A 25,432-nucleotide genomic window follows, 5' to 3' on the forward strand; every position below is an offset into this window, starting at 1 on the left:
TAACATGTGTTGCAAATATCTCTGCCAAGTTTTGCATATTTTTTTCTCATTGCGGTATCCAATAAACAGAAGTCTTAAATTTTTATGTGATCAAGTTAGTTTTTACTCTTGCCGTTTGTTCTTCTTCCCTATGTAAAGATAAAAGAGATGCTCCACAGTTTTTTTCTAAGAATGTTGAGAAGGTATCTTTATCCATTAAAATATATTTTTAGGTTTGGTCTATGGGATTAAGTTTCAATTTCCTTTTTTCCCCCTTATGGAGACCAGTGGTCCCAGTGTTGCTTATTGTAAAATTTACTATCTTCACTTAACCACAAGAAAAGCTGTGTTACAAAATATGTTTCCAAGTATGTGTGAAAAATATATTTATCTTTATGATTCTACTCAGATTAATTAGCTCTCAGGACTGCTGTGTCCAGAGTTGATTCCTTCTGGTGGGTTCGTGGTGTTGCTGACTTGAAGAATGAAGCCGCCGACCTTCACGGTGAGTGTTACCGCTCTTAAAGATGGCAAGGACCCGAAGAGTGAGCAGTAGCAAGGTTTATTGGGAAGAGCTAAAGAACAAAGCTTCCACAACGGGGAAGAGCACCCACGCAGGTTGCTGCTGCTGGGGTGGGGGTGGGGGGGTGGCCAGGTTTTATTCCCTTATTTGTCACGTTTCTATCCTATCAGAGTGCCCTTTTTTCAATCCTCCCTGTGATTGACTACTTTTAGAATCCTGCCGATTGATGCGTTTTTACAGAGCTTGCTGATTGGTGTGTTTTACAGAGCGCTGATTGGTGTGTTTTACAGAGCATGGATTGGTGCGTTTTACAGAGCGCTGATTGGTACATTTCACAGAACTCGTGAGACAGGTAAGTTCCTGATTGGTGCATTTTACTATCCTCTGGTAAGACAGGAAATTTCCCCAAGTCCCCACTCGACCCAGGAAGTCTGGCTGGCCTCAGCTCTTGCTACCAGAGGCTAATTTCCACCCTGGTATTTCTCAGGCCCATAGATAGTGTGAATTCAAACCCAAACCAATATGGCTATTGTTTTGTATTTAGAAATTATCATACGTTTTTTATTTTTCATTTTTTTGTCTACCCTATTGGGACCAAGACAAGCACATATTTTCACTTTCTTATGGGGGTGGGATTTTCCTAGCCCAGGCACTTAACGTGCTTCTTTTTAGAAATCCTAGATTTATGCAGGAGGCATTTTAGCCTATATTCCTTCCTGCATGGGCATCAGTCTCTGTTTCCTGAATTAGGTGCTCATGGGTCTGGGCCAGTAGGTCCTGGGAGGCACCGCAGGGCAAATGCCAGATGAGACACTCACACCTCTGGATTCAGACTTTTTTTGCTCTTCTAGATATCTGAAAATTTGCCTTACTTTGACTCAGCCCATGCATTAAAGCAGATGCTTTTAAATATTTTATGATGCATGTTTTAGGAAAGGGTCTGTCTGGGTATTTCTTCTTTCGATTTTCATTTTTCATTCAGTTCTTCTTTCACACTATCCTAAGCATTAATCAACTCGCCATTTATGTCAGTACAAAACTTCACTATCCTGTTCATTATCACCATTTCATTTTGTTCTGCATAGGCCAGACTATTTATCTAAAAATGTTTAAAGAAATCTAAGGCCTTAAAGGATTCTTTCTCAAGGACTCTACTGTTTGTATTTAGAGAAATGCTCATTTGTTCCACTGTTTTACTTTCTTCTTGGGTCACGCTCTTTGATGACTGCGATCTTACAGAGGATGACAAAAGAGGGCCCACCCTGAGACAGTAATACCTGCTTGCCCCTTTGGATTTTATTAGTGTTATCAAAATATTAATAAAATGTCAAAAACAAATTACTATCATTAGAATGTGTGCCTCACTTAAAAATTTCTCTCTCTAATAAGAAGTTTTTGTTTCCTAGTTCCTTTGGTACCCTAATGTTTAGGTAAATATTCTCTGAGGAAAGGATGTGGAAGTCATAGCAAAATATATGCTGGACTTGAATGAAAATATCTGTTTCATAAAAGTTAAGCAGGCAACCAAAATTTACCTTTTTTAACCTAAATTATCTAAACATGTATTTACATTTCTGCTTCATTGAAAGATATTTGACATTAAATGTCCCTGAGACAGATTTTGGAATGCCCTCTCCTTCTAAAATATATTTTTTATCTTTTGTGGACTAAACAGTTAGTTAAAAATGAACTTAATGATTGCTAATTACTAAGTTATCTAAACAGTTATTTAAAAATGAACTTAATGATTGCTACTTAGTTATTTATAATGCATTTCAAAATTAACTTTATCATCTAAACCTTTTAACACAAATGTATTAAATTATGAAACAGGGAATTGGCTATTTTTGTTCAAATGTTTATTCTCATCAAACTTAAAATATCACTCAGCTATATGATTAAAAATGAAGGCTTCAGTCATTAAATTATTTCCCAGTTATTTGCGATATTTCTCCATATTAAAGGAACAAACAGTGCCCTTCGAATCTGTTGATAGTTCTATTGATAGTGGCCATCACAAGTTACACATTATCAATAAGGTCAAGGCACAAATAAAATTTCTCCCTTGCTTTTCACTCAAAAACTACAAGTATAGTTCTTTGATAAGATGTCCCAATCATGATTTGTGATGCCAATCATAGAAGGAAAGAGGATGTTGAGAAACAATAAAATAGCTACTTTAAAATGTTCTGTGCCTGAACATTTTGATGGCAATATTGGTCATATTATAAATTTGAAAATATAAATTTTAATCTAGATTGACTTTATTCTACTAGTGATTTTAAGAGCTTTATCCAAGAGAAACACTTACATTTTTATTCCTAATGTTTCTTTAAAAATGTGAAACTCCTTTTTTTTTTTATAATTTTAAAAATTCCTAGATAAGCAGAACATAGAGCCAACTGTTATGTTCTGGTTGTTTTTAATAGGTATATTTATGTTATCCCCCAAATTATAATTTATTAATGTCTAACTTCAGTTAGATGAGTTGATTACTTTTCATACACCATTGACTAAAGGAAACCTAATTTTACACGTAATTCAAGGGGATCTGTGAGTAAGAACATTTTTAAATTAAAGCAACACATGTGCATGGAAAATCATTCAAACAGTTTGATGGCAAAAAAATCAGTGGAAACCAGAAACTTTTTTTTTCCTTCCACAGACCTTGGTCCTGTTTTTCAGAGTTAGGCAGGTTTTATCATACTCTTTTTTTTACTATATGCTATTCTCTTGAACTGTAAATAATATTATATAATCACCTAATTTGTTTTATCAGTTTTAAGTAATATCCCTTGACTTTTTATGAACGATAGAGAATATAGCTCATTTACCCTACTTTCTTTTCTTTTTTCTTTTTTCTTTTTTTTTTTTTTTTTTGAGACGGAGTCTCACTCCCTCACCCAGGCTGGAGTGCAGTGGCGCTATCTCGGCTCACTGCAAGCTCCGCCTCCCGGGTTCACGCCATTCTCCTCCGTCAGCCTCCTGAATAGCTGGGACTACAGGCACCAGCCACCACGCCCGGCTAATTTTTTGTATTTTTAGTAGAGACAGGGTTTCACCGCGTTAGCCAGGATGGTCTTGGTCTCCTGACCTCGTGATCCGCCCGCCTTGGCCTCCCAAAGTGCTGGGATTACAGGCGTGAGCCACTGCACCTAGCCCATTTACCCCACTTTCTTCTTCTAAAACTATATTTCCAATTTAGTCTTTAATATATAATTTTAAGGGATTTTTAAAAATTTGCTTCCTCTAAATAATATACTTACAGTGCTTAATTCTTTGCTTAAATAATATATTGTTTAAATATACAGTCCATCCAATTTGAACAACACTGATTGGCTCAGTAGGATGTGGAGATTAGTGTACAACTTCCCTCCCCTCCAACAGTCCCTGTCATAGCTTTCGACTTGTATCAAATATGGTTCTATACTTATATTTTCACATTTTATGTAAATTACATCCTATTTTGTAATTATAATAAAGTCTGTGCTTTGTTCATAGGTTAATTTTGATCATGGAATCTCAGGTGAATTGACAGCATCATTATTATGTTTTCTTTTTTTTTCAAACCACAGTCGCAGGTGGCATGATTTGATTTGTGTGAAGGCAATGAAATGATACACAGATACACCGAAGCCTCCCAAAAGAATCCTGGTTCCAAGATTCAAGAAGATGGATTAATGTTTTTCCATTAATTGTTGGAATTTATGCCATTTTTTTACTATGTGCCATCAATTTTAAAGCACTTCTGAAAAGAGATAACAATCTACAATAGCTGGCATTTTAAATTCATAAAAATATAGTATTTTCTTCTATTTTTATACATTTATGATGCATTATTTCTTATTTCCCAGGAATTTTACTACCTTTGTTTTGAATGATTAAAAAGGAAACATAGCACCTTTTTTCAACACATCACCAAGATAGCCTAGTTAATATTCTTCTCTTTCTGAAGTAGTTGAATTGGGAGAGACAGCTTGCCAGGCCTGCTGCCACTTGTCAGCATCGCATCCCTACATTCAACCACACTTGCATCTAACGACCGTCTCTTTCATTAAATTTCTTTTGCACCTTTTCTTCCTGAATGAGTGCATGATAGTTAATTTTCCTGTGCACTTGCATGTCTCAAGAAGGTTTTAATTCTTTTTGTATTGCATTAATATTTAAGTTAAGTTTATAATTGCAAAATGATTTATACTCACAACATTGAAGACTCCTTTGTTTTGTTACATCCTGTCAAAATGATGAGAAGACAGATCATCCTTTAGGGAAAAATTGGTTTTGATTGGCATCAGCCTTTCCAACAGCAATGCTGGAGACAAGAATAAAATGAAGTAATATTTTTCAAGGATTAAAAGGAAACAATTTTTAATCCTTGAATTATTTGCAGCCAAAATCTTTTAAATATGAAAGCACAGAAAAAGACATTATAAAGTAAGGCCTCAAAAGTTTTATTTCAAATAAATCCCTTTGAAAATGCCTAGAGGACATACTCCACTAAGAAGAGAAATACACCGTGGTGTTAGAATTGAGGGTTCCAGAATCAATGGTAGTGGTGTTTATCATACCCTAAAACATACATGAAAACATAACATATTGAAAACAACTCCGAGTAAACTTCAGAAAGTACCACCTTAGACAAAGTGCTGTCGTAACAGAGAAAGCAAACCAGAGGTGGCAAGAGGAGGCTAGAGTACTTATTTGGTTTGCTGAGATGATATTAATTTTGACACATGGAGGAAATTGAGAAAATTAACAAAAGTAATGACATAACCACCATTACAATGTTAAAAATTTCCAGATTTCAAACAAATGAAAAATTTTTGATCTATAGAGTGAGAGGTACAAATAGGAAAAAAGACACAGTAAAGTATGAAAAATCATAAATGAGATGACAGAAAGAAGTCATAATGGAACAATAATTACATAAATCAAAGGTTAAGATTGTCAGGTAAAATTTTTAAGTGTCAAAAAACACAATATAACCTATCGAAAATAAATTAGTGGAAAAAATGTAGCAGGAAAATATGAATAAAAAGAGCTAGGTCCAATTTTTGATAAAAATTTGAATTCAAGTTGATAATATCCTAAAGAAGGAAAAGTCTGTAGGCCAATAGAAGAAATAGCAGATGCAGAGGTGTGCTCACAAACATGAGTGCTCATGACACTAGTCATACAAACTCAAATTCCCATTACAGTTGTATACAAACATGATGGCCGACAAGAAGGAAGTTCCTTTAAGCCCACTTGGAGCATTAAGACAAATTTACCATGTGAATCCCTAATTGAACTCTGAGTTACTTCTGTGAAGGAATGAAGAATGATATCATAAATGAATTTCATATAGCACTCAAAGCTCCCCCTCTATATGGTTCCGGATAGACTTGAGTATCCACGGTTCTGGAGTGCAAGGGAGGAGAAAGGAAAGGTGCATTCAGACAAAAAAAAAGTGTACAGAACACACCACGGATATCAGAAGAGGCTGCTCATGGCAAGGCGTGGTGGCTCGTACCTGTAATCCCAGCACTATGGGAGGCCGAGGTGGGTGGATCACCTGAGCTCAGGAGTTCAGGACCAGCCTGGGCAGCAAGGCGAAACCCCATCTCTGCCAAAAATACAACAAAATTAGCTAGGCATAGTGGCACATGGCTGTGGTTCCCATTACTTGGGAGGCTGAGGTGAGAGGATTGCTTGAGCCTGGGAGGCAGAGGTTGCAGTGAGCCCAGATCGTGCCTCTGCACTCCAGCCTGGGCAACAAAGTGAGACCCCGTCTCAAAACAGAACAAAACAAAACAAAAAAAGAGGCTGATCAAGACCAGACTCAGCTCCTAGGCCTTGAACTCCAGTCCCACCTTACACCCTAAGGTTCCTAAAGAATCAGTAACTTAGTTCACCCTACCCCGCTCCTGGCTTCTAGATGTAGCACAAGTTTCTAAACATGCAAACAATGAGGACTATCTATTTTGACAAAATAAGAAGAAATGGAGTCAAGGCAACATATAACAGATATTTTTGCCAGTTTTATTGATTAACAAAGAAAAATTGTATATAGTTAAGGTGTGCAGTGTGATATTTTGATATACATATACATTGTGAAGTGATGATTACCACAATCAAGCTAACATATTCATCACCTCACCTGGTTACCTTTTTATTTGTGTTTGTGTGGTGGAGAATATTTGAGATCTACTCTTTCAGCAAATTTCAAGTATACATTATTATTGACTTTAGTCACTATGCTGTACGTTAGATCTCCAGAACTTATTCATCTTATAACTGAAAGTTTGTACCTTGTGACAAACATTTTTTCTTTTCCCCCAACTCCCAGGCCCTGGTAAGCACTATTTTACTCTCTTACCATGAGTTTGACATTTTTTAAGTATGCATATAAGTGAAATCATGCAGGATATTTCTGTGTGTGTTCCTGGCTTATTTTACTTACCATAATAAACTCCAGGTTTGTCCATCTTGTTACAAATGGCAGTATTTCCTCATTTTTAAAGGCTGAATGATATTCCATTACATATGTGTGTGTGTGTGTGTGTGTGTGTGTAATACATTTAAAACATCCATCTGTCAATGGACACAGGTAGTTTCCATATCTTGGCTGTGTACATAACACTGCAATGAACATGTAAGTATACATATCTCTTTGAGATAGTGATTTTCTTTACTTTGGATATATACCCAGATGGGGATTGCTGGATTATATGGGAGTTCCATTTTTAATTTTTTGAGGAAACTCCATACTGTTGTCACTAATGGCTGTACCAATTTACGTTCCCATCAACTATCAACTAAGCACAAGGGTTTCTTTTTCTCAATATCCGCAGCAACATTTGTTACCTTTTTACTGTTACAATAGCCATCCTAATAGATGTGAAGTGATATCTCATTGTACATTTTCCTGATGATTAGTGATGGCAAACATCCTTTTATTAGTATATACCTATTGTCAATCGTATGTCTTTTAGAAATGTATCTCTTCAGGTCTGATATGCTTTGGCTGTGTCCCCACCCAAATCTCATGTTGAATTGTAGCTCCCATAATTCCCATGTGTTATCGGAGGGACCCAGTAGGAGACAGTTGAATCATGGGAGCAGTTTTCCCCATACTGTTTTTGTGGTAGTAAATAAGCCTCACAAGTTCCGATTGTTTTATAAGCGATTTCCTTTTTCACTTGGCTTTCATTCTGTCTTGCCTGCTGCTGTGTAATATGTGCCTTTAGCCTCCCACCATAAGTAAGGCCTCCCCAGCCTCATGGAACTGTGAGTCCATTAAACCTCTTTTTCTTTATAAATCACACTGTCTTTGGTATGCCTTTATGAGCAGCATGAAAACAGATGAATACAGTAAATTGGTACTGGTAGAGTGGCGTGCTGCTGTAAAGTTATCCAAAAATGTGGAACCAACTTCGGAACTGGGTAAGAGGCAGAGGTTGGAACAGTTTGGAGGGCTCACAGAAAGACAGAAAAACATGAGAAAATTTGGAACTCCCTAGAGACTTGTTGAGTAGCTTTGACCAAAATGCTAATAATGATATGGACAATGAAATTCAGGCTGAGGTTGTCTGAGACGGAGATGAGGAACTTGTTGGGAACTGGAGTAAAGGTAAATCTTGCTATGTTTTAGCAAGGAGACTGGCAGCATTTTGCCCCTGCCCTAGAGATTTGTGGAAATTTGAACGTGAAGGAGATGATTTAGGGTAGCTGGCAGAATAAATTTCTAAGCAGCAAAGCATTCAAGAGGTGACTTGGGTGCTGTTAAAAGCATTCAGCTTTAAAAGGAAACAGCATAAAACTTTGGAAAATTTGCAGCCAAACGATGTGATAGACAAGAAAAACCAATTTTCTGAGGAGAAATTCAAGCCAGCTGCAGAAATTTGCATAAGCAACAAGGACCCAAATGTTCATCCCCAAGACAATGGGGAAAATATCTCCAGGACATGTCAGAGACCTTTGTGGCAGTCCCTCCCATCACAGGCCAGGAGGCCTAAAAGGAAAAAATGGTTTCCTGGGCTGGATTCAGAGGCCCCCTGCTGTGTGCCACTTTGAGACTTGATGCCCTGCATCCCAGCCACTTTAGCCATGGCTAAAAGGGGCCAAGGTACAGCGTGGACTGTGGCTACAGAGGGCGCAAGCCCCAAACCTTGGCAGTTTCACATGGTGTTGAGTCTGTGGGTGCACAGAAGTCAAGAACTGAGGTTTGGGAACCTCTGCCTAGATTTCAGAGGATGTATGGAAACACCTAGATGTCCAGGCAGCATTTTGCTGTGGGGTGCGGGGGGCCCTCATGGAAAACCTCTGCTAGGACAGTGCAGAAGGGAAATGTAGGGTTGAAGCCCCCACAGAGTCCCCACTCGGGTACTGCCTACTGGAGCTGTGAGAAGTAGGCCACCGTCCTCTGGACACCAGAATGGTAGATACACCAACAGCTTGACCATGCACACGGGAAGGCCACAGACAATGCCAGCTCATGAAAGCAACCAGGAGGGGGGATATGTCCTGCAAAGCCACAGGGGTGGAGCTGCCCAAGGCCGTGGGAGCCCACCTCTTGCATAAGTGTGACCTGGATGTGAGACATGGAGTCAAGGGAGTGCATTTTGGCACTTTAAGATTTGACTGGACTGCTGAGTTTTGGATTTGGGGCCTGTAGCCTCTTTGTTTTGGCCAATTTCAACCATTTGGAACAGGTATATTTACCCCCTCCCTGTACCTCCATTGTATCTGGAAAGTAACTGACTTGCTTTTGACTTTATGGGCTCATAGCTGGAAGGGACTTGCCTTGTCTCAGATAAGACTTTGGAGAGTGGACTTTTGAGTTAATGCTGAAATGAGTTAAGATGTTGGGGGACTGTTGGGAAGGCGTAATTTGCTTTCAAATGTGAAGACATGGGATTTGGGAGGAGCCAGGGCAGAATGATATGATTTGGCTGTGTCCCTACCCAAATCTCATCTTGAATTGTAGTTCCCATAATTCCCACATGTTGTGGGAGGGACCTGGCAGAAGACAATTGAATCATGGGGGCAGTTTCTCCCATACTTTTCTCGTGGTAGTAAATAAATCTCACAAGATCTGATTGCTTTATAAGGGGTTTCCCCTTTTGCTTGGCTTTCATCCTGCCTTGCTGGCTGTCATGTAAGACCTGCCTTTCACCTTCCAACTGTGATCATGAGGCCTCCCCACCTATATTGAACTGTGAGTCCATTAAACCTCTTTTTCCTTTATAAATAACCCAGTCTCAGGTATGTCTTTATCAGCAGCATGAAAACAGACTAATACAAGGTCCTTTGGAATCATCTGAGTTCCTAATTTATTTGGATATTAACTTCTTATCAGATATATAGCATGTAAATATTTTCTCCCATTCTTTAGGTTGTCTTTTCATTGTATTGATTGTCTCCTTTGCTGTGCTGAATCTTTTGGTTTAGTCCCATTTGTCTAGTTTTGCTTTTGTTGTCTATACTTTTGGTGTCAAATCTGAAAATTTATTACCAATACCAGTGTCAAGGAGCTTTTCTCCTATATTTATGTCTAAGAGTTTTACAATATTGCTCCTAGGTTGAGGTCTTTTATCAATTTTGAGTCAATTTTTGTATGTAGGGTCAGATAAGGGTTCAGTTTCATTCTTCTGCATGTGGATATCCAGTTTTCCCAACACCATTTATTAAAGAGACTAAACTTTTATCATTGTGTTTTCTTGGCACCAATGCTGAAGATCAATTGATTGTAAAGGCATGGATTTGTTTCTGTGCTCTCTATTCTTTTCCCTTGGCCTACATGTCTGTTTTTATGCCAGTACCATACTATTTTAATTACTATAGCTTTATAATTTAGTTTGGAATAAGGTAATGTGATGCTTCCACTTTTGTTTTTTCTGCTCAATGATGTTTTGACTGTTTGGGGTCTGTTGCACACAGATTTTAGAATTGCTTTTTTCCATTTCTTTGAAAAATGCCACTGAAATTTTGATAGGGGTTGCATTATATCTGTAGATCACACTGAGTAATAGAGATTCTTTTATCTTCAAATTCTTTCATCAGTGTTTTATAGTTTTTGGTATATAGAAATTTTACTTTCTGATTTAAATTTATTCCTAAGTTAATTTTTTGATGCTATTGTAAATGAGATTGTGTTCTTTCAGATGGACTCTCGCTCTGTCACCTAGGCTGGAGTGCAGTGGCGTGATCTCAGCTCACTGCAAGCTCTGCCTCCCAGGTTCACACCATTCTCCTGCCTCAGCCTCCCAAGTACAGGTGGCTGCCACCATGCCCGGCTAATTTTTTGTATTTTTAGTAGAGATGGGGTTTCACTGTGTTAGCCAGGATGGTCTCGATCTCCTAACCTCATGATCCACCTGCCTCAGCTTCCCAAATTGCTGGGATTACAGGCGTGAGCCACCGCGCACAGCCCGAGATTGTTTTCTTAAATTCTTTCTGGGATAGTTCACTGTTAGTATATAGAAATGCAACAGGTTGTTTTTTTTTTTTTTTAATGTCAATTATGTGTTCTGTAAATTTGCTGAATTTGTTTCTTAATTTTAACAAGTTTTCTTTTTGGAGCCTTTAGAATTTTCTCTGTATAAGATCATGTCATCTTGAAATAGACACACTTTCACTTCTTTTCCAATTTGGATGCCTTTTATTTCTTTTTCTTACCTAATTGCTCTGGCTAAGACTTACAGACTTTTTCAGAAACCCCCCAGAGTAATCTAGGGGAGTCCACTGTCACTAGATCTGCTTTATAAGAAACCCTAAAGGGAGTTCCTCAAACTGAAATGCAATAAGACTAATTAGTATCATGAAACCATATGTAGTTATAAAAAGTCACTGGTAACTATACAGTCAAATTCAAAATACTCTTAATACTGTAATGATGCAGTATAATCACTTTAACTTTTAAAAGGTTAAAAGACAAAAAATACTACAAATAAATATAATTACAAAATATACAAAGAAAGAAACTCTGACATCAAAAAACATAAGTGGAGGGGAGTAAAGTGTAGGGTTTTTTTATATGATTGAAGTTAAGTTGTTATCAACTTAAAATAGACCATTATAACTACAATCATGCATTTCTTAATGCAGATATGTTCTGAATAATGCAATTTTGTCATGGTGTGAATATCATAGAGTATACTTACACAAAATTAGATAATACTAGCTAACACACACCCAGGCTATATGGTATAACCTATTGTTTCCAGGCTACAAATCTGTACAGCACTGTACTATACTGAATGCTATAGGCAACTGTAATACAATCATAAGCATTTGTATATCTAATGTATCTAAACATATGAAAGGTACAATAAAAATGTTATAACCTTATGGGACCACCGTTGTATATGTGGCCCATCATTGACCAAAACATCCTTGTGTGGCACACGATAGCATACAATGTTTTATGTAAGCCTCATGATAATCACAAAGACAAACATGTAACAGATACACAAATGAGAATTTTACCACATGTTTAAAAAAGAATTAATACAAAGGCACAGCAAAGAATCAAAGTATACCACTACAGAAAATAATGAAAGTAATCAAATCATGCACAGCAAGAGAGAAATAAAAGAACAAAAAAACTACAAAATGCCTATCAATAGTTACTTTAAATATCAGTGGACCAAATCAGTGAAACAAAAGACACAGAGTGGCTGAATGGATAGTATAACAAGAACCAAATATATGCCACCTATAAGAGACTCACTTCACCTTTAGAGACACACATAGACTGAAAGAGAGGGAACAAAAAAAGACAAAGAGTAGCTATTCTTACAACAAACAAAATAGATTTTAAGTCAAAAACTGTAACAAGAGACAAAGAAAGTCATTATAGAATGATACAAGGGTCAATTCATCAAGAGGATATAACTACTGCAAATATATATTCTCCCAACATTGGAGCACCTAATTATATAAAGCAAATATTAACAAATCTGAAGAGAGAAGTGGACAACAATAATACAATAACAGTAGGGGACTTCCATATCCCACTTTCAACAATGGATTAATCATTCAGACAGATAATCATTAAAGAAACAGCTGACGTGAACTACACTATAGATCAAATGGACCAGACATATACATGACATTCCTTTCCAAAACAGCAAAATACACATTCTTCTCGAGCATACACAGTACATTCTCCAACATAGGTCATATATTAGGCCAGAAAACAAGTCTTAGCAAATTTAAGAATATTGAGATCTCACCAAGTATTCTTTTTGACTACAGTGGCATGAAACTGAAAATTAAAAACAGGAGAAAACTTAGAAAAGTGACAAATATGTGGAAATCAACCAACACACTCCTCAATAACCAGTAGATCAAAGAAAACATCAAAAAAGAAATAAAATAACTTGAGACAAACTAAAATGAAAGCACGACATACTAAAACTTATGAGATGAAGCAAAAGCCATTCTAAGAGAGGGAAGTTTATACAGATAAGTGCTAAATAAAGAAAAAAGATCTCAAATAAACCTCAAAAAATAGAAAAAAAAATCAAGCCCAAAATTAGAAGAAGGAAATAACAAAGATCATAGCAGAAATAAATGAAATAGACTAGAAAAACAATAGAAAAGATCAATGAAATGAAGAGCTGATTTTTTGAAAAGATAATAAAAATTGACCAACCTATCACTAGGCTAAGAAAAAAGAAATCTCAAGTAAATAAAATTAGAACAAAAAAGGAGATATTAAAATTGGTACCATAGAAATACAAAGGATAATAATAGTCTAAACAACTATGTGTCAACAAATTGTTTAACTTAGAATAGAGAAATTTCTAGAAACATACATCCACTAAGACTGAAACATGAAGAAATATAAAATAAAAACAGATAAATAATGAGTAAAAATATTGAGTCAGTAGTCAAAAAGCTCCTGAAAAAGGAAAATCCAAGACAAGATAGCTTAGTGGAGAATTCTACCAAATGTTTGAAGAAGAATTAATACCATTTCTTCACAAACACTTCCAAAAGTTGAAGAGGAGGGAACACTTCCAAACATTTTTTATGAGGCCAGCATTACCCTGATAACAAAGACAGAAAAGAACACTACAAGGATGACAGATATTTTTAAGGTACAAATGATGTATTGCTGGAATTGAAAATACAGGCTTTGTTAGTACAAAGATTTGTGTGTGGATAGATGGATGTGTATTGGTGTGTGCATGCATACATATACAAGCTTACCTTGTTTTATTGCACTTCACTTTATTATGCTTCTCAGATATTGCAGTTTTTACAGGTTGAAGGTTTGTAGCAACCGTGCACCAAGCAAGTCTACCAGTGCCACTTTTCTGGTAGCATGTGCTTATTTTGCACCTCTGTGTTACATCTTTGTAATTCTTGTAGTATTTCAAATGTTTTGTTATTATTATATCTGTTATGGTGATCTGTTATCAGTGATCATTGATATTACTATTGTCATTGTTTTGGGGCATCACAAGCCATGGTCCAAAAGACAATGAGCTTAATTGATACCTATGTGTATTCGAATGGTTCCATCGATCTGCCCTTCCTCCATCTCCCCCTCTCCTCAGGTCTGTTTTCTGAGACACAGCAATATTGAAATTAGGCCAATTAATAACTCTATAAAGGCCTCTGTGTTCAAGTGAAAGTAAGAGTCACACATCTCTTATTATAAATCTAAAGTGAGAAATGATTAAGCTGAGTGAGGAAGGTATGTTAAAAGCCGAGACAGGCCAAAAGGCCCAGGCTGGTCTCGAACGCCTGACCTCAAGCAATCCACCTGCCGCAGCCTCCCAGGTAGCTGAGATTAAAGGCATGAGCCACCATGTCCAGCTTCTATGCATTATTTTAAATGGAGTATTGAAGACTCTATTACTGTAGAACTATTTCTAACTTCAATTCTGTCAATATTTGGGTCACAGGCCTTAATGTTATTACACGCTAGTCTGATGCTCATGGCCAGGACATTTTGTTTTCCTGTTGGACATAAACAATCTCACAGAATATCAACTTCAGAAGGTTAATCTGAGACCGTGATAAGTGCAAACAAAAACAAGGGCACTTTATAATGTTGTCTAAGTGCAGATAAAAAACAAGGTCTTGATGCCACCCACAAAATACTTAATAATCATATTGCTCCTGCTTTCTGACAGCATCCAATCTAAAGTCTTCACTTTCTGAGATCCTGTCCGAAATCAACCAATTAAAGCCCAAATCGTATAATAGTTTCTCTCTAACTCCTCCCACTGAGATGACCCATAGTACCCCATTCCTTGCTGCAATGTAATTACAAGTGTGCTCCTGGTGGTCTTTAACTGAAGGGCACTGACTGGGTACTGGTGAAGTTCCCCGCAGGAACTGAGTCAGACCCCATCTCAGGGCCCTGCAGAAGATAGGTGCCTGCTCTAAGGCGTGGACCCTCGCGACAGCCCTGGCCCGTCTTGACGGGCGAGGGTTACTGTACTTGTCCCAATCGTACAGATGAGAAAGCTCAGACTCAGGGCCAGCAACCCCGGTCCCAGCGGAGCGCCCGGCACGCGCCGACACTTCAGCACCAGTCGCGGTGGCCACCACTGTGCGCGGAGATGGCTGCGACGCGTGCGCAGGTAAAGTCCATCCGTGCCTTGCCTCCCACCGGCGCCTTCCACCGCCTCTGGTTTTGTCCCCGCCAGCGGCTCCGACTCCATCGCGTCCTCTTCCAGTCTAGTGCTTTTTTCCAGATCTCGATCCCAAACTCCCTCCTGCCAGAATCTGGACCCGAATCCACCCATTGCCCATTTTCCGCTGCCGCTGGAGAGAATCTCTGAGGTCCCCAGGACAGCCTGCCTGCACGGAAGAGATGCCTCCTCAGTATGGCCGCCCCCGGAGAGGAGCGATTAAGTGCAGACCCCCATGTTGCTCTTGAGCCTGAGCGGCTTCAGGGAGCCATGTTTGTTACTGGCGGGCGCCGGCCTCACTGAGCATGTGCAGCCCTGGCCGGGCGGCCTCAAAGTTCTGACATCACAGGGCGGTTCCTGAAGTGGACGTAGTTGTAAGAGCTAGTTATTTTAGACAATGCCTCTGGGATCAGGGACTCTAATCTGGAAATAGGTAGTGGGAGAGGTCGGTGATGCTGTCTCGGGGTCAGAGACCTGAGCTATATGGGGTTAGAGAGGGGCCCTGGGCAGGCGAGTCTCTGGGGAGTGTGGTGAGAATCCTTGTGTAAGATGCTGGGAGGAGGTGGGGTCAGGGCTGGGGTCCGTGGGCCGACGGGTTGGGGGATGGCCAGCGTCAGGGATCAGTAGTAGAGATTCTATGTGCCCTGATCGCCAGTAGAGGTTTTAAATACAGAGTATTCATGAGTTTAGCAATGTTATTCGCCTCTCATAATTTAAATAATTTGAAGTTTTCCCCCAGTAACTAGTGTCTTAGAAGTCATGAAAATTTCAGAAAATGACAGGTCTTCTGAGTTCGTGATGGGAGTTGGGCAGCAGTCGCATACGAGCACCTGGAGAGTCCTTGCCAGTTCTTTGGGGATGGGGAGCTCTTAAGACTGCCCTGAGACCGCCCTTTGACCTCATTATGGTCCTTTCTAGATTAAATGCTGTTTTCCATGACCGTCTCTGTTCTTCCCATACGCGAATGGCAGGCATCCAGATCTCCAAGAATAGAGGATTAGGAGAGACTCCACCACCTATGTCCTCACAGTTAATTATCGATTTGTGTCACTTGCCCATTTTCTCACTTCCTGTTTGTGTGTCAAGGAGTATTAATAAATCTTTGCCTATTTAAAGATACTAGCCTTGGATTTTCAAATATTGCATATTTTGACATGTAAAAATGTGTTAGTTTTATTTTTTCAACCGATCTGACCTGTATAGTTGGGCTTGAGGAAGCTTCCTCATTGTACATGTTACTATGGATTTTCTAATATTAACACAGGGTTGTATTTTTTCCATATAACTTTCTATTGAATTTCTTTTTCCATATGATAGGTGGTGAAGGTTTAGCCCAGTAAAGCAGAGAGGTTAAGAGGTTAGACTGGGGGCTCTGGAGCCAGACCTATGTAGATCTGAGTCCTGGCTCTGGCACTTGAAAGCCGTGTGACCTTGGTTAAGATACTTAGCCCCTCTCTGCCAAATGGAGAAATAAGGGCACCTACCCCGTAGGGTAGTTGTGTGAGTACACAAGTTAATACACTTCAATCACTAGCAAGAAAGTGAATGTCAAGCTGTATTTGTTCAGGCAGCCATATGGTAGCCCCACCTCATTAGTAAACTGAGGTATTGAAGTATCTTCTTTTTCTTTCAGAAAATATTTGTCAAGCACCTTCTGTGTTCTAAGAACTGTTCTAGAGCTTTGCATGCTATGGAGGTCTAGAAATTCACATTATGGTGGCAGGTGACAGACAATACAAAGAGGTAAAGCAATTTCATATAGTGATAACCTAGGGAGGCGTGCTAAAAGGAGCCAAGGTGTAGTGGTGACTGGAAGGTGACCAGGGAAACCACTGTAGGGTTTCTAACTGATGAGATCTGTGACAAATCCCTGTGGTCAGCAGCAGGCATTGGATATGTAACTTTATTCTGTCCCATTGATCTTGTAGTCAACCCTGGTCTGTTCTGTATTGTTTTAATTACATAATCTTTGTAATAATCTTTAATACCTGGTGGAGTGCTCTGTTTACTTATTTCTGCATAATTAACCACCCCTAAGCTTAACTTACTCATGGTTCTGCAGGATGACTGCTCTCCATGGTTCTAGGGGTTTCTGCATGGGGCCTCTCACATGTGCTACAGTCAAACATTAGCCGGGGCCACAGTCATCTGAAACTCACTTACACGGCTGACAATTGATGTTGGCTGTTGCCTGGAGAAGACATATGTGGCCTGGTGGAATGGAATGGTGACTAGATTCAAGAAAGAGCTTCCCAGGAGCAAGGCTACCAAGAGACCGAAGTAGAGGCTTCAGTTTCTTTAAAAAAAAAAAAAAAAATCGGGCCAGGTGCGATGGCTCACGCATGTAATCCCAGCACTTTGGGAGGCCAAGGCAGGCAGATCACAAGGTCATGAGATCGAGACCATCCTGGCCAACATAGTGAAACCCGTCTCCAATAAAAAAAAAAAATACAAAAATTAGCTGGGCATGGTGGTGTGTGACGGTAGTCCCAACTACTTGGGAGGCTGAGACAGGAGAATTTCTAGAACCTGGGAGGCGGGGGTTGCAGTGAGCTGAGATTGCACCACTGCACTCAAGACTGGCAATAGAGGGAGACTCCATCTCAAAAAAAAAAAAAAATCCAATAGTAGAATTCCCAGAATGGAATTTATGTCATATTCTATGGATTGAGCAAGTTGCAAGGCAGCCACATTCTAGGGGAAGGGAGCTATTCCTCACCTCTTGAGAAGCAATGTGTGTTGAGGAAGGGAAAGAATTGATGGTAGCTGTCTTTGACTTCTACCATACAGAGCAAGGTCTCCACACTCCTTTCTCCTGTAATAATTTTCCATTTGAAAATTTTCCTTGCAGTTCTCACACCTTTATTATTTCATATAAATTTTACAATCAATTTTTTTCTTGTCTAGATAACCATGCCATTTGGATTAAAATTGCATTACATTGCAACTTTTGAGAAACTATGGGAGGAGAATTGGCAACCTTATAATATTGAATTTGCTCATTAAGGAACATAGTTTCTCTGTTTATTTAGGTGTTATATTTTTCATAATATACATGTTGGTATTTCTACCCAGGCTTTTCTCTTTGTTTTGTCATGTAATGCATGAATGAGACTGCACTGTCTGTGTGATTGGGCAGTTGCCCAAAGTTTAAGGTGTTAACATGCATTAATTCACTTAATCACTTCTCATTTCCTCCTTCCCTCAACCCCTGACAACCATGAATCTGCTTTCTGTCTCTAGATTTGCCTATTCTGGACATTTTATATAAATGTGTCATCCAATATCTGGTCTTTTCTGACTGGCTTCTTTCACTTAGCAGGATTCTACGGTTTATTGAGGTTCATTCATTGTGTAGGCTGTATCAGTACTTCATTCCTGTTTACGGCTGAATAATGTTCCACTGTATGTACATATGTATGTATACCACACTTTGTATATCCATTTATTTACTGGAGGATATCTGGGTTATTTACAGTATATTTCAGGAGTCCCCAAGATCATCCTCCCCCTTGGTATACTGCTCTTTGTATCTTATATGACCTGTGCAGAACTATTTATCTGGAAATTAGGTGATGGTTAACTAAATATAGTTCTTCTAAAGATTCATTTTCCGTTGGTATTACATCCTGAGGAGACCTTAACTCAATCTCCCAATACATTTGATCATCAATATCACTATTACCACATGACTTATTTACATGAGGTACTCAAATCTAACCAGCCATGCCAGTGTTACCCATATTGCATGTTGTGGTAGTAGATGCAGCCCCCTGAAATAAAAGTCAAAAGATGCTGGCACATTCCTGAGGTTCTTCTCAGCCACTAACAATTGGTGTAGTTCATCATCACCTGGAATGACCAAAATGTCTCCCATGGAAATGCAGCTCAGCTCTGTAGGCTTCCATTTAACTTTGTCAGGTTCCGAGGCAGGGCTGGCTTGAGTGGTCTTGTTTCCACTTTGGCTTTGATGAATAATGCTGCTGTGAACATTCAGGTATACGTTTTTGTGTGGTTTCATTTCTTTTAAGTATATATCTTGGAGTGTAATTACTGGATCATATGATAACTCTGTTTTAATTTTTGAGAAACTACCAAAATGTTTTCCAAAACAGACAAGATTTTACATTCCCTCAGCGTTGAATGAAGGTTCTTATCCAGTTTCCTGTTTTTGCTGAGACTTCTTATTGTTTGTCTTTTGAATTTAGTTATCTCGTTGGGGTGAAGTGGTGTATCATTGTGTTTTGATTTGCATTTCCCTAATAATGAATGTTATTGAGCACCTTCTCACATGCTTATTGGCCATTTTTCATCTTTTTGAAGAAATGTCTATTCATCTTTTGCCCATTTTTAAATTGAGTTTTCTTTTTATTGAGTTGTAAGAGTGGTTATATCATCTGGAACATGTGTTCCTTATCAGATATAGGACTTATAAGTTTTTGTCCCATTCTGTGGTTGTCCTTATTTTCTTATGTAACCATTGTATTAGTCTGTTTTCATGCTGCTGATAAACACATACCTGAGACTGGACAATTTACAAAAGAAGGAGTTTTATTGGACTCACAGTTCCAGGTGGCTGGGGAGACCACACAATCATGGTGAAAGATGAAAGGCAAGGAGGAGCAAGTCACGTCTTACATGGATGGCAGCAGGCAAAGAGAGAGCTTGTGCAGGGAAACTCTCATTTTTAAAACCATCAGATCTCCTGAGACTCATTCACTATCATGAGAATAGCACAAGAAAGGCCTGCCCCCATTATTCAGTCACCTTCCACTGGGTTTCTCCGACAACACATGAGAATTCTGGGAGTTACAACTCAAGATGAGATTTAGGTGGGGACACAGCCAAACCATGTCGACTTTGAAACACAGAACTTTTTAATGAAATTGAACTGATCTATTTTTTGTTTTGTTGCTTGAGCTTTTGGTGACTGCTATGGTTTGAAATATGTTCCCACAAAATTCATGTTTGGAATGCTTATATTCCTGTTGGTGGGAATATAAAACCATACATCTGGTATGGAAAACAGTATGGTGATTCCTCAAGAAATTAGAAACAGAATTACCCTATGATCCAGCATTTCCACTTCTGGGTGGAATACCAAAATAATTGAAAGCAGGGTCTCAAAGAAATATCTGTACACCCGTGTTCATAGCAGCATTAGACACAATAGCCAAAAGTGGAAATAATCTAAGCATTCATTGAGGGATGAATGGAAAAACAAAATCTGACATATACATACATACAGTGGAATATTATTCAGCTTCCAAAAGGAAGAAAATTCTGACATATGCTATAACATGGATGCACCTTGAGTACATTATGCTAGGTGAAATAAGCCAGTCACAAAAACAAATACTGCATGATTCCATTTAAATGAGGGGCCTAGAATATCAACTTCATAGACAGAAGTTAGAATGGTGGTTGCCAGGGGCTGGGAGGAGGGGGTAGGGGTTAGGTTTTAATAAATATCATTTCAGTTTTACAAGATGAAGAGAGTTTTGCAGATGGGTTGTGGGCATAATTGTACAACATTATCAATGTATTTAATACCACTGAATTGTACACTTAAAATGGTTAAGATGGTAAATTTTATGTGTGTTTTAACACAATAAAAACTGAAAAAAGGGATATATGTTACCCTAAATAAAAAATTCGTATGCTGAACTCAGAACCCCCAGTACCTAAGAACATGACCTTATTTGGAAATGAGATTGTTGTTAATGTAATTAGTTAAGATGAGGTCATGGTGTAATAGGGTGGGCCCCCTAATCCAGTATGATTTGTGTCTTTATAAAAAAGGGAAATTTGTGCACAGAGATAACACAGGGGATATGCCATATGAAGATGAAGGCAGAATTCTACAAGCCCAGGAATGCCAAAGATTGCCAGCAAACCACCAGAAGCTAGGAGAGAAGTGTGGATTAGATTCTTTCTCACAGCCCTCAGAAGGAACCAGCCCTGCCAAGAACTTGATCTCAGACTTCTAGTCTCCAGAACTGTGAGACAGTGCATTTTGTTCTGTAAGTCAGCCACATGGTTTGTGGCACTTTGTTATGGCAGCCCTAGGAGATGAAGACAATATGCAACATGGTATGTCCATTATAGGACACTGTGGGCTATAAATGTGTTCTTTGGCCTGAAGAAATAAAACTTGGTGGTCCAAGTTGATGTCTTATCATCTGTTCCAGTTCTTTTATGGTATTTTTGGCATTTGAATCTAATGACTATGCAAAGCCCAGTCCAGAGAATGTGTCAGGACCCATTATAGCCTCCCAGGGATACTGGCTTCAGTCTGGTATAATCTACTTGTTAGCTATGAGTGGTGCCTTCCCACTGGGAACCTGCCCCATAGCCACCTGCGGTCTCTGTCTTCCTGCTGTCAGATAGGACAGTTCTTGTTGGCATTTGGTGCCTCTGAGGGTGGAGGAGGGACTTGTTGCTGAGCAGCCCATCCCTGCACGGCTGCAGCTCCCCTGTGTCCACTCCTTCATTAAGCCCAGGTGGCCACCTCAAGGTCACCAGGATATCCACCTACCAGATCTGATCACTGATCCTGGGAGGGGTTCTTCAGGTGGGCATTGACATGACCTACTTTAATGTGCCCTTTAAATTCCTGCAGTGCTGTGCTCCATGTGGGGATCCTTTCACAGCCCAGTTTGCCATTGCCCCTCTTCCTGGTTACATGGCCAGGCCATTGGCCACTGCCCATGAGTCAGTAAAGTAAAAACCGAAATGTAGAAGATCCTATCATTGTTCAATTCTTCCATCCCAGGAAGGAGTGCAACATGTAATTCATCTCACTGGGTTGATTTGTTCTTGCCTTTTTCAATAAGAATTTTCCCATTACTGCTCATGGTGTGCATCCAGGCCACACTGATGCAAGGGGTGGGGTCCCAAGGCCTTGGGCAGCTCTGCCCCATGGCTCTGCAGGGTACTGCCCCAGTGACTGCTTCCATGGGCTGGCATTGAGTGCCTGTGGCTTTTCCAGGCACACAGTGAAAGCTTTCAGTGGATCTACCATTCTCTGGCCTGCAGGACAGTGGCCCTCTTCTCACAGCTCCACTAGGCAGTGCCCCAGTGGGGACATTGAGTGGGGCCTCCAAACCCACATTTCACCTCCAGACTGCTTTAGTAAAGGCTCTCCATGAGGGCTCTGACGCTATAGCAGACTTCCTCCTGGACATCCAGGCATTATCATACAACCTTTACAATCTAGGTGGAAACTCCCAAGCCTCAACTCTTGCCTTCCTTGCACCTGTAAGCTTAAAACCACATGGAAGCCACAAAGGCTTCTTATGGCTGCACCCTCTGATGCAGTGGCCTGAGATGTATCTGGGGCCCTTTTAGCCACAGCTGGAGCTGGAGCAGCTGGGATTCCGGGTGACATGTCCCGAGGCTGTACACAACAGTGGGGTCCTGGGCCTAGGCCACAAAACCATTTTTCCCTCCTAATCTTTCAGGCCTGTGATGGGAAGGGCTACTGTGAAGATCTCTGAAATGTCCTGGAGGCATTTTCCCCATTGTCTTGGCTATTCACATTCTGCTCCTCTTTACTTATGCAAATTCCTGCAGCTGAGTTGAATGTCTTACCAGAAATTTGGTTTTTCTTTTCTACCACATGGTCAGGCTGCAAATTTTCCCATCTTTTATGCTCTGCTTCCCTTTTAAATATAAGTTCCAATTTCAGATCATCTCTTTGTGAATGCATATGAGCATATGCTGTTAGAAGCAGCCAAGTTACATCTTGAATGCTTTGCTGTTTAGAAATTTAGAAATTTCTTCTGCCAGATGCCCTAAATCATCTCAAGTTCGAAGTTCCACAGATCCCTAGAGTAGGAGCACAATGCCACCAATCTCCTTGCTAAATCATAGCAAGAGTGACTGCAAACTCCAGTTCCCAATAAGTTCCTCACCTCCATCTGGGACCACCTCAGCCTGGATTTCACTGTCCATATCACTATATGAGCATTTCGGTCACAACCATTCAGCAAGTCTCTAGGAAGTTCCAAACTTTTCTTCCTGTCTTCTGTTTTTTTGTTTTGTTTTCATTTTTGTTTTTTTCAGATGAAGTCTCACTCTGTTATCCAGGCTGGAATGCAGTGGCACAATCTTGGCTCACTGCAACCTCTGCCTCCTGGGTTCAAATGATCCTCCTACCTCAGCTTCCTGAGTAGCTGGGATTACAGGCATGTGCCATGATGCCCGCCTAACTTTTTTTTGTATTTTTAGTAGAGACAGAGTTTCACCATGTTGGCCTGGCTGGCTTTGAACTCCTGACCTCAAATGATCCACCTGCTTCACCCTTCCAAAGTGCTGGGATTGCAGGCATGAGCTACCATGCCCAGCCATCATCTTCGTGTATTCTTATAAGCCTTCCAAACTGTTCCAACCTCTGCCTATTACCTAAGTCCAAACTCGCTTCCACAGTTTCAGGTATCTTTGTAGCAATGCCCTACTTCTCTGGTACCAATTTTCTGTATTAGTTTGTTCTCACATTGCTATAAAGAACTACTTGAGACTGGGTAATTTATAAAGAAAAAAAGGTTTAATTGGCTCATGGTTCCACAAGCTGTACAGGAAGCATGGCTGAGGAGGCCTAGGGAAACTTACAGTCATGGCGGAAGGTGAAAGGGAAGGAAGCATATCTTCATATGGACAGCAGGAGCGCAGGGGAAGTTACTATACAGTATTAAACAACCAGATCTCATGAGAGCCCTATCACAAGAACAGCAAGGGGGAGGTCCACCCCTATGATTCAATAACTTCCCACCAGGGTCCTCCTCCAACACTGGAAATTACAATTCGACATGACATTTGGCTGGGGACTCAGAGCCAAACCATATCACCAACCCTATAAAGAAAGCGAGGCACTGATGTCACACTGCTGGTGGATCTGAGACTTGATCTCAGGCCAGCCTGATTCCTAAGTGGCGTTCTTACCCTATTGCCTCAGGAGCAGCGAGAGCTCTATGGAGCCTGTACATTGCTAAAGAACAAGTTGAAAGAATTTTATTTCCAACAGTAGGGCTGATAAGGACCAGCTGAAAACAGCTAAAGCTTCTGGAATACATATCAAGAACCTCTTAAAAATGTGTCAATGAGCTACAAAATAAGAGTTCCAAAAAGCTAAAAAAGTTTTAAAATGGAAGTGAAACCCAAAGAAGTAACTAAGGCACTGATGCCACTTTTCACCCTTAAGATATTTGCCTGTCAAACTAAACTTTGCTGTTTTTCACAGCCTGAGGTGGAAAAGGGGCAGCAGAACAGCAGACAAAGCTGAGGGCCTGGCCAAGTGGGAGGGGCTAAAAGGAGACATCATAAAGTGAGATCCAAAAGGACAGACTTAGTGTAAGGGTGAACTATGAATAAACCTGTCCGCCTCCCCCTGTATGCTGCCCTTGACCCCTGCTTCCCTAGGAACAGTGAGGAACATTGGGTATCCTGAGAGAAAACATCTCCCCTGAGAGTTTTATGTGTGTGTGTATATATATATATATATATATATATATATATATATATATATATATATATATATGTATGTATATAGCCCTTTAACTGGTTTGTTCACACAACCTGGGTGGTCTAAAATGTCTCAAGCTTCAAATTTACCGCAATATCAGCTTTTTGGTGCCTTCTAGGTGACTGACAGATGCAAAATGGATTGTCTGTGGAGGAACTCTGAGATACTTTCAAGGAATATAAGTTCACAATAAAAAATCACAAATGTAAAATTGGCAAGAGCCACCAGAAACAATGGACAGAAGGAGCAGGCCTGCAAAAACTTAAGACAGTCAAGTCAGCAAAGACAGTACAAAGTGTGTTTTATACTTAAAGAAACAAAGGAGTTGAAATAACTTGAGCATGAAAATAACCAAATACATTGGGGAAAGTACCAAGTGGAAACGAAATGAAAAGTATCATAATTGAAATGGAAAGTTCAATGGATTGGTTTAACTAACGGTCATCAAAAAGAGAATAATAGATGAAGAAATAAAGAAGTTTTCAGACTCGAAAAAGCTGAATGACTTTACTACCTGCAGAACTGCACTATAAGAAAAGTTAAGGGATGTCCTTCAGGCATAAGGAAAACGATACTAATGGCAGCAGTGTGCCATCTGGAGCAGCCACTGTTATCACGCCAGCTGCAGTGTGGAGGCACAAGTGGTGGTGGCAGGAGTGGCTGTGGGAGCAGCAGTGGTCATGGTGGGTCCCCTGTGCCCTACATCCCTGAGGCAGCTGACTGCACCACCCCAACCCTTGCACAACTGGGCAGGACCCACTGCAGGCCCGG

General features: G+C 39.8%; 2 long non-coding RNA genes across 2 annotated transcripts in view; both read left to right on the plus strand.

Moving 5' to 3' along the window:
• The window catches only part of LINC01189 (long intergenic non-protein coding RNA 1189), a 69,529-nt gene extending 65,112 nt beyond the window's left edge, over positions 1-4,417 (plus strand). The window contains exons 3-5 of the long non-coding RNA NR_046203.2: positions 389-484; positions 769-854; positions 4,078-4,417. This is a non-coding gene — a long non-coding RNA (long intergenic non-protein coding RNA 1189). The remainder of the gene's footprint in view (positions 1-388; positions 485-768; positions 855-4,077) is intronic.
• Positions 4,418-14,960: 10,543 nt separating this feature from the next.
• Positions 14,961-25,211, plus strand: FAM88F (family with sequence similarity 88 member F). The gene is made up of 2 exons (NR_147619.1): positions 14,961-15,087; positions 24,780-25,211. It is a non-coding gene; the product is annotated as a family with sequence similarity 88 member F (long non-coding RNA).
• The last annotated feature ends 221 nt before the right edge of the window (positions 25,212-25,432 follow it).

Source organism: Homo sapiens, chromosome 9, assembly GCF_000001405.40.
Source record: "Homo sapiens chromosome 9, GRCh38.p14 Primary Assembly".
NCBI classification, from domain to species: domain Eukaryota; kingdom Metazoa; phylum Chordata; class Mammalia; order Primates; family Hominidae; genus Homo; species Homo sapiens.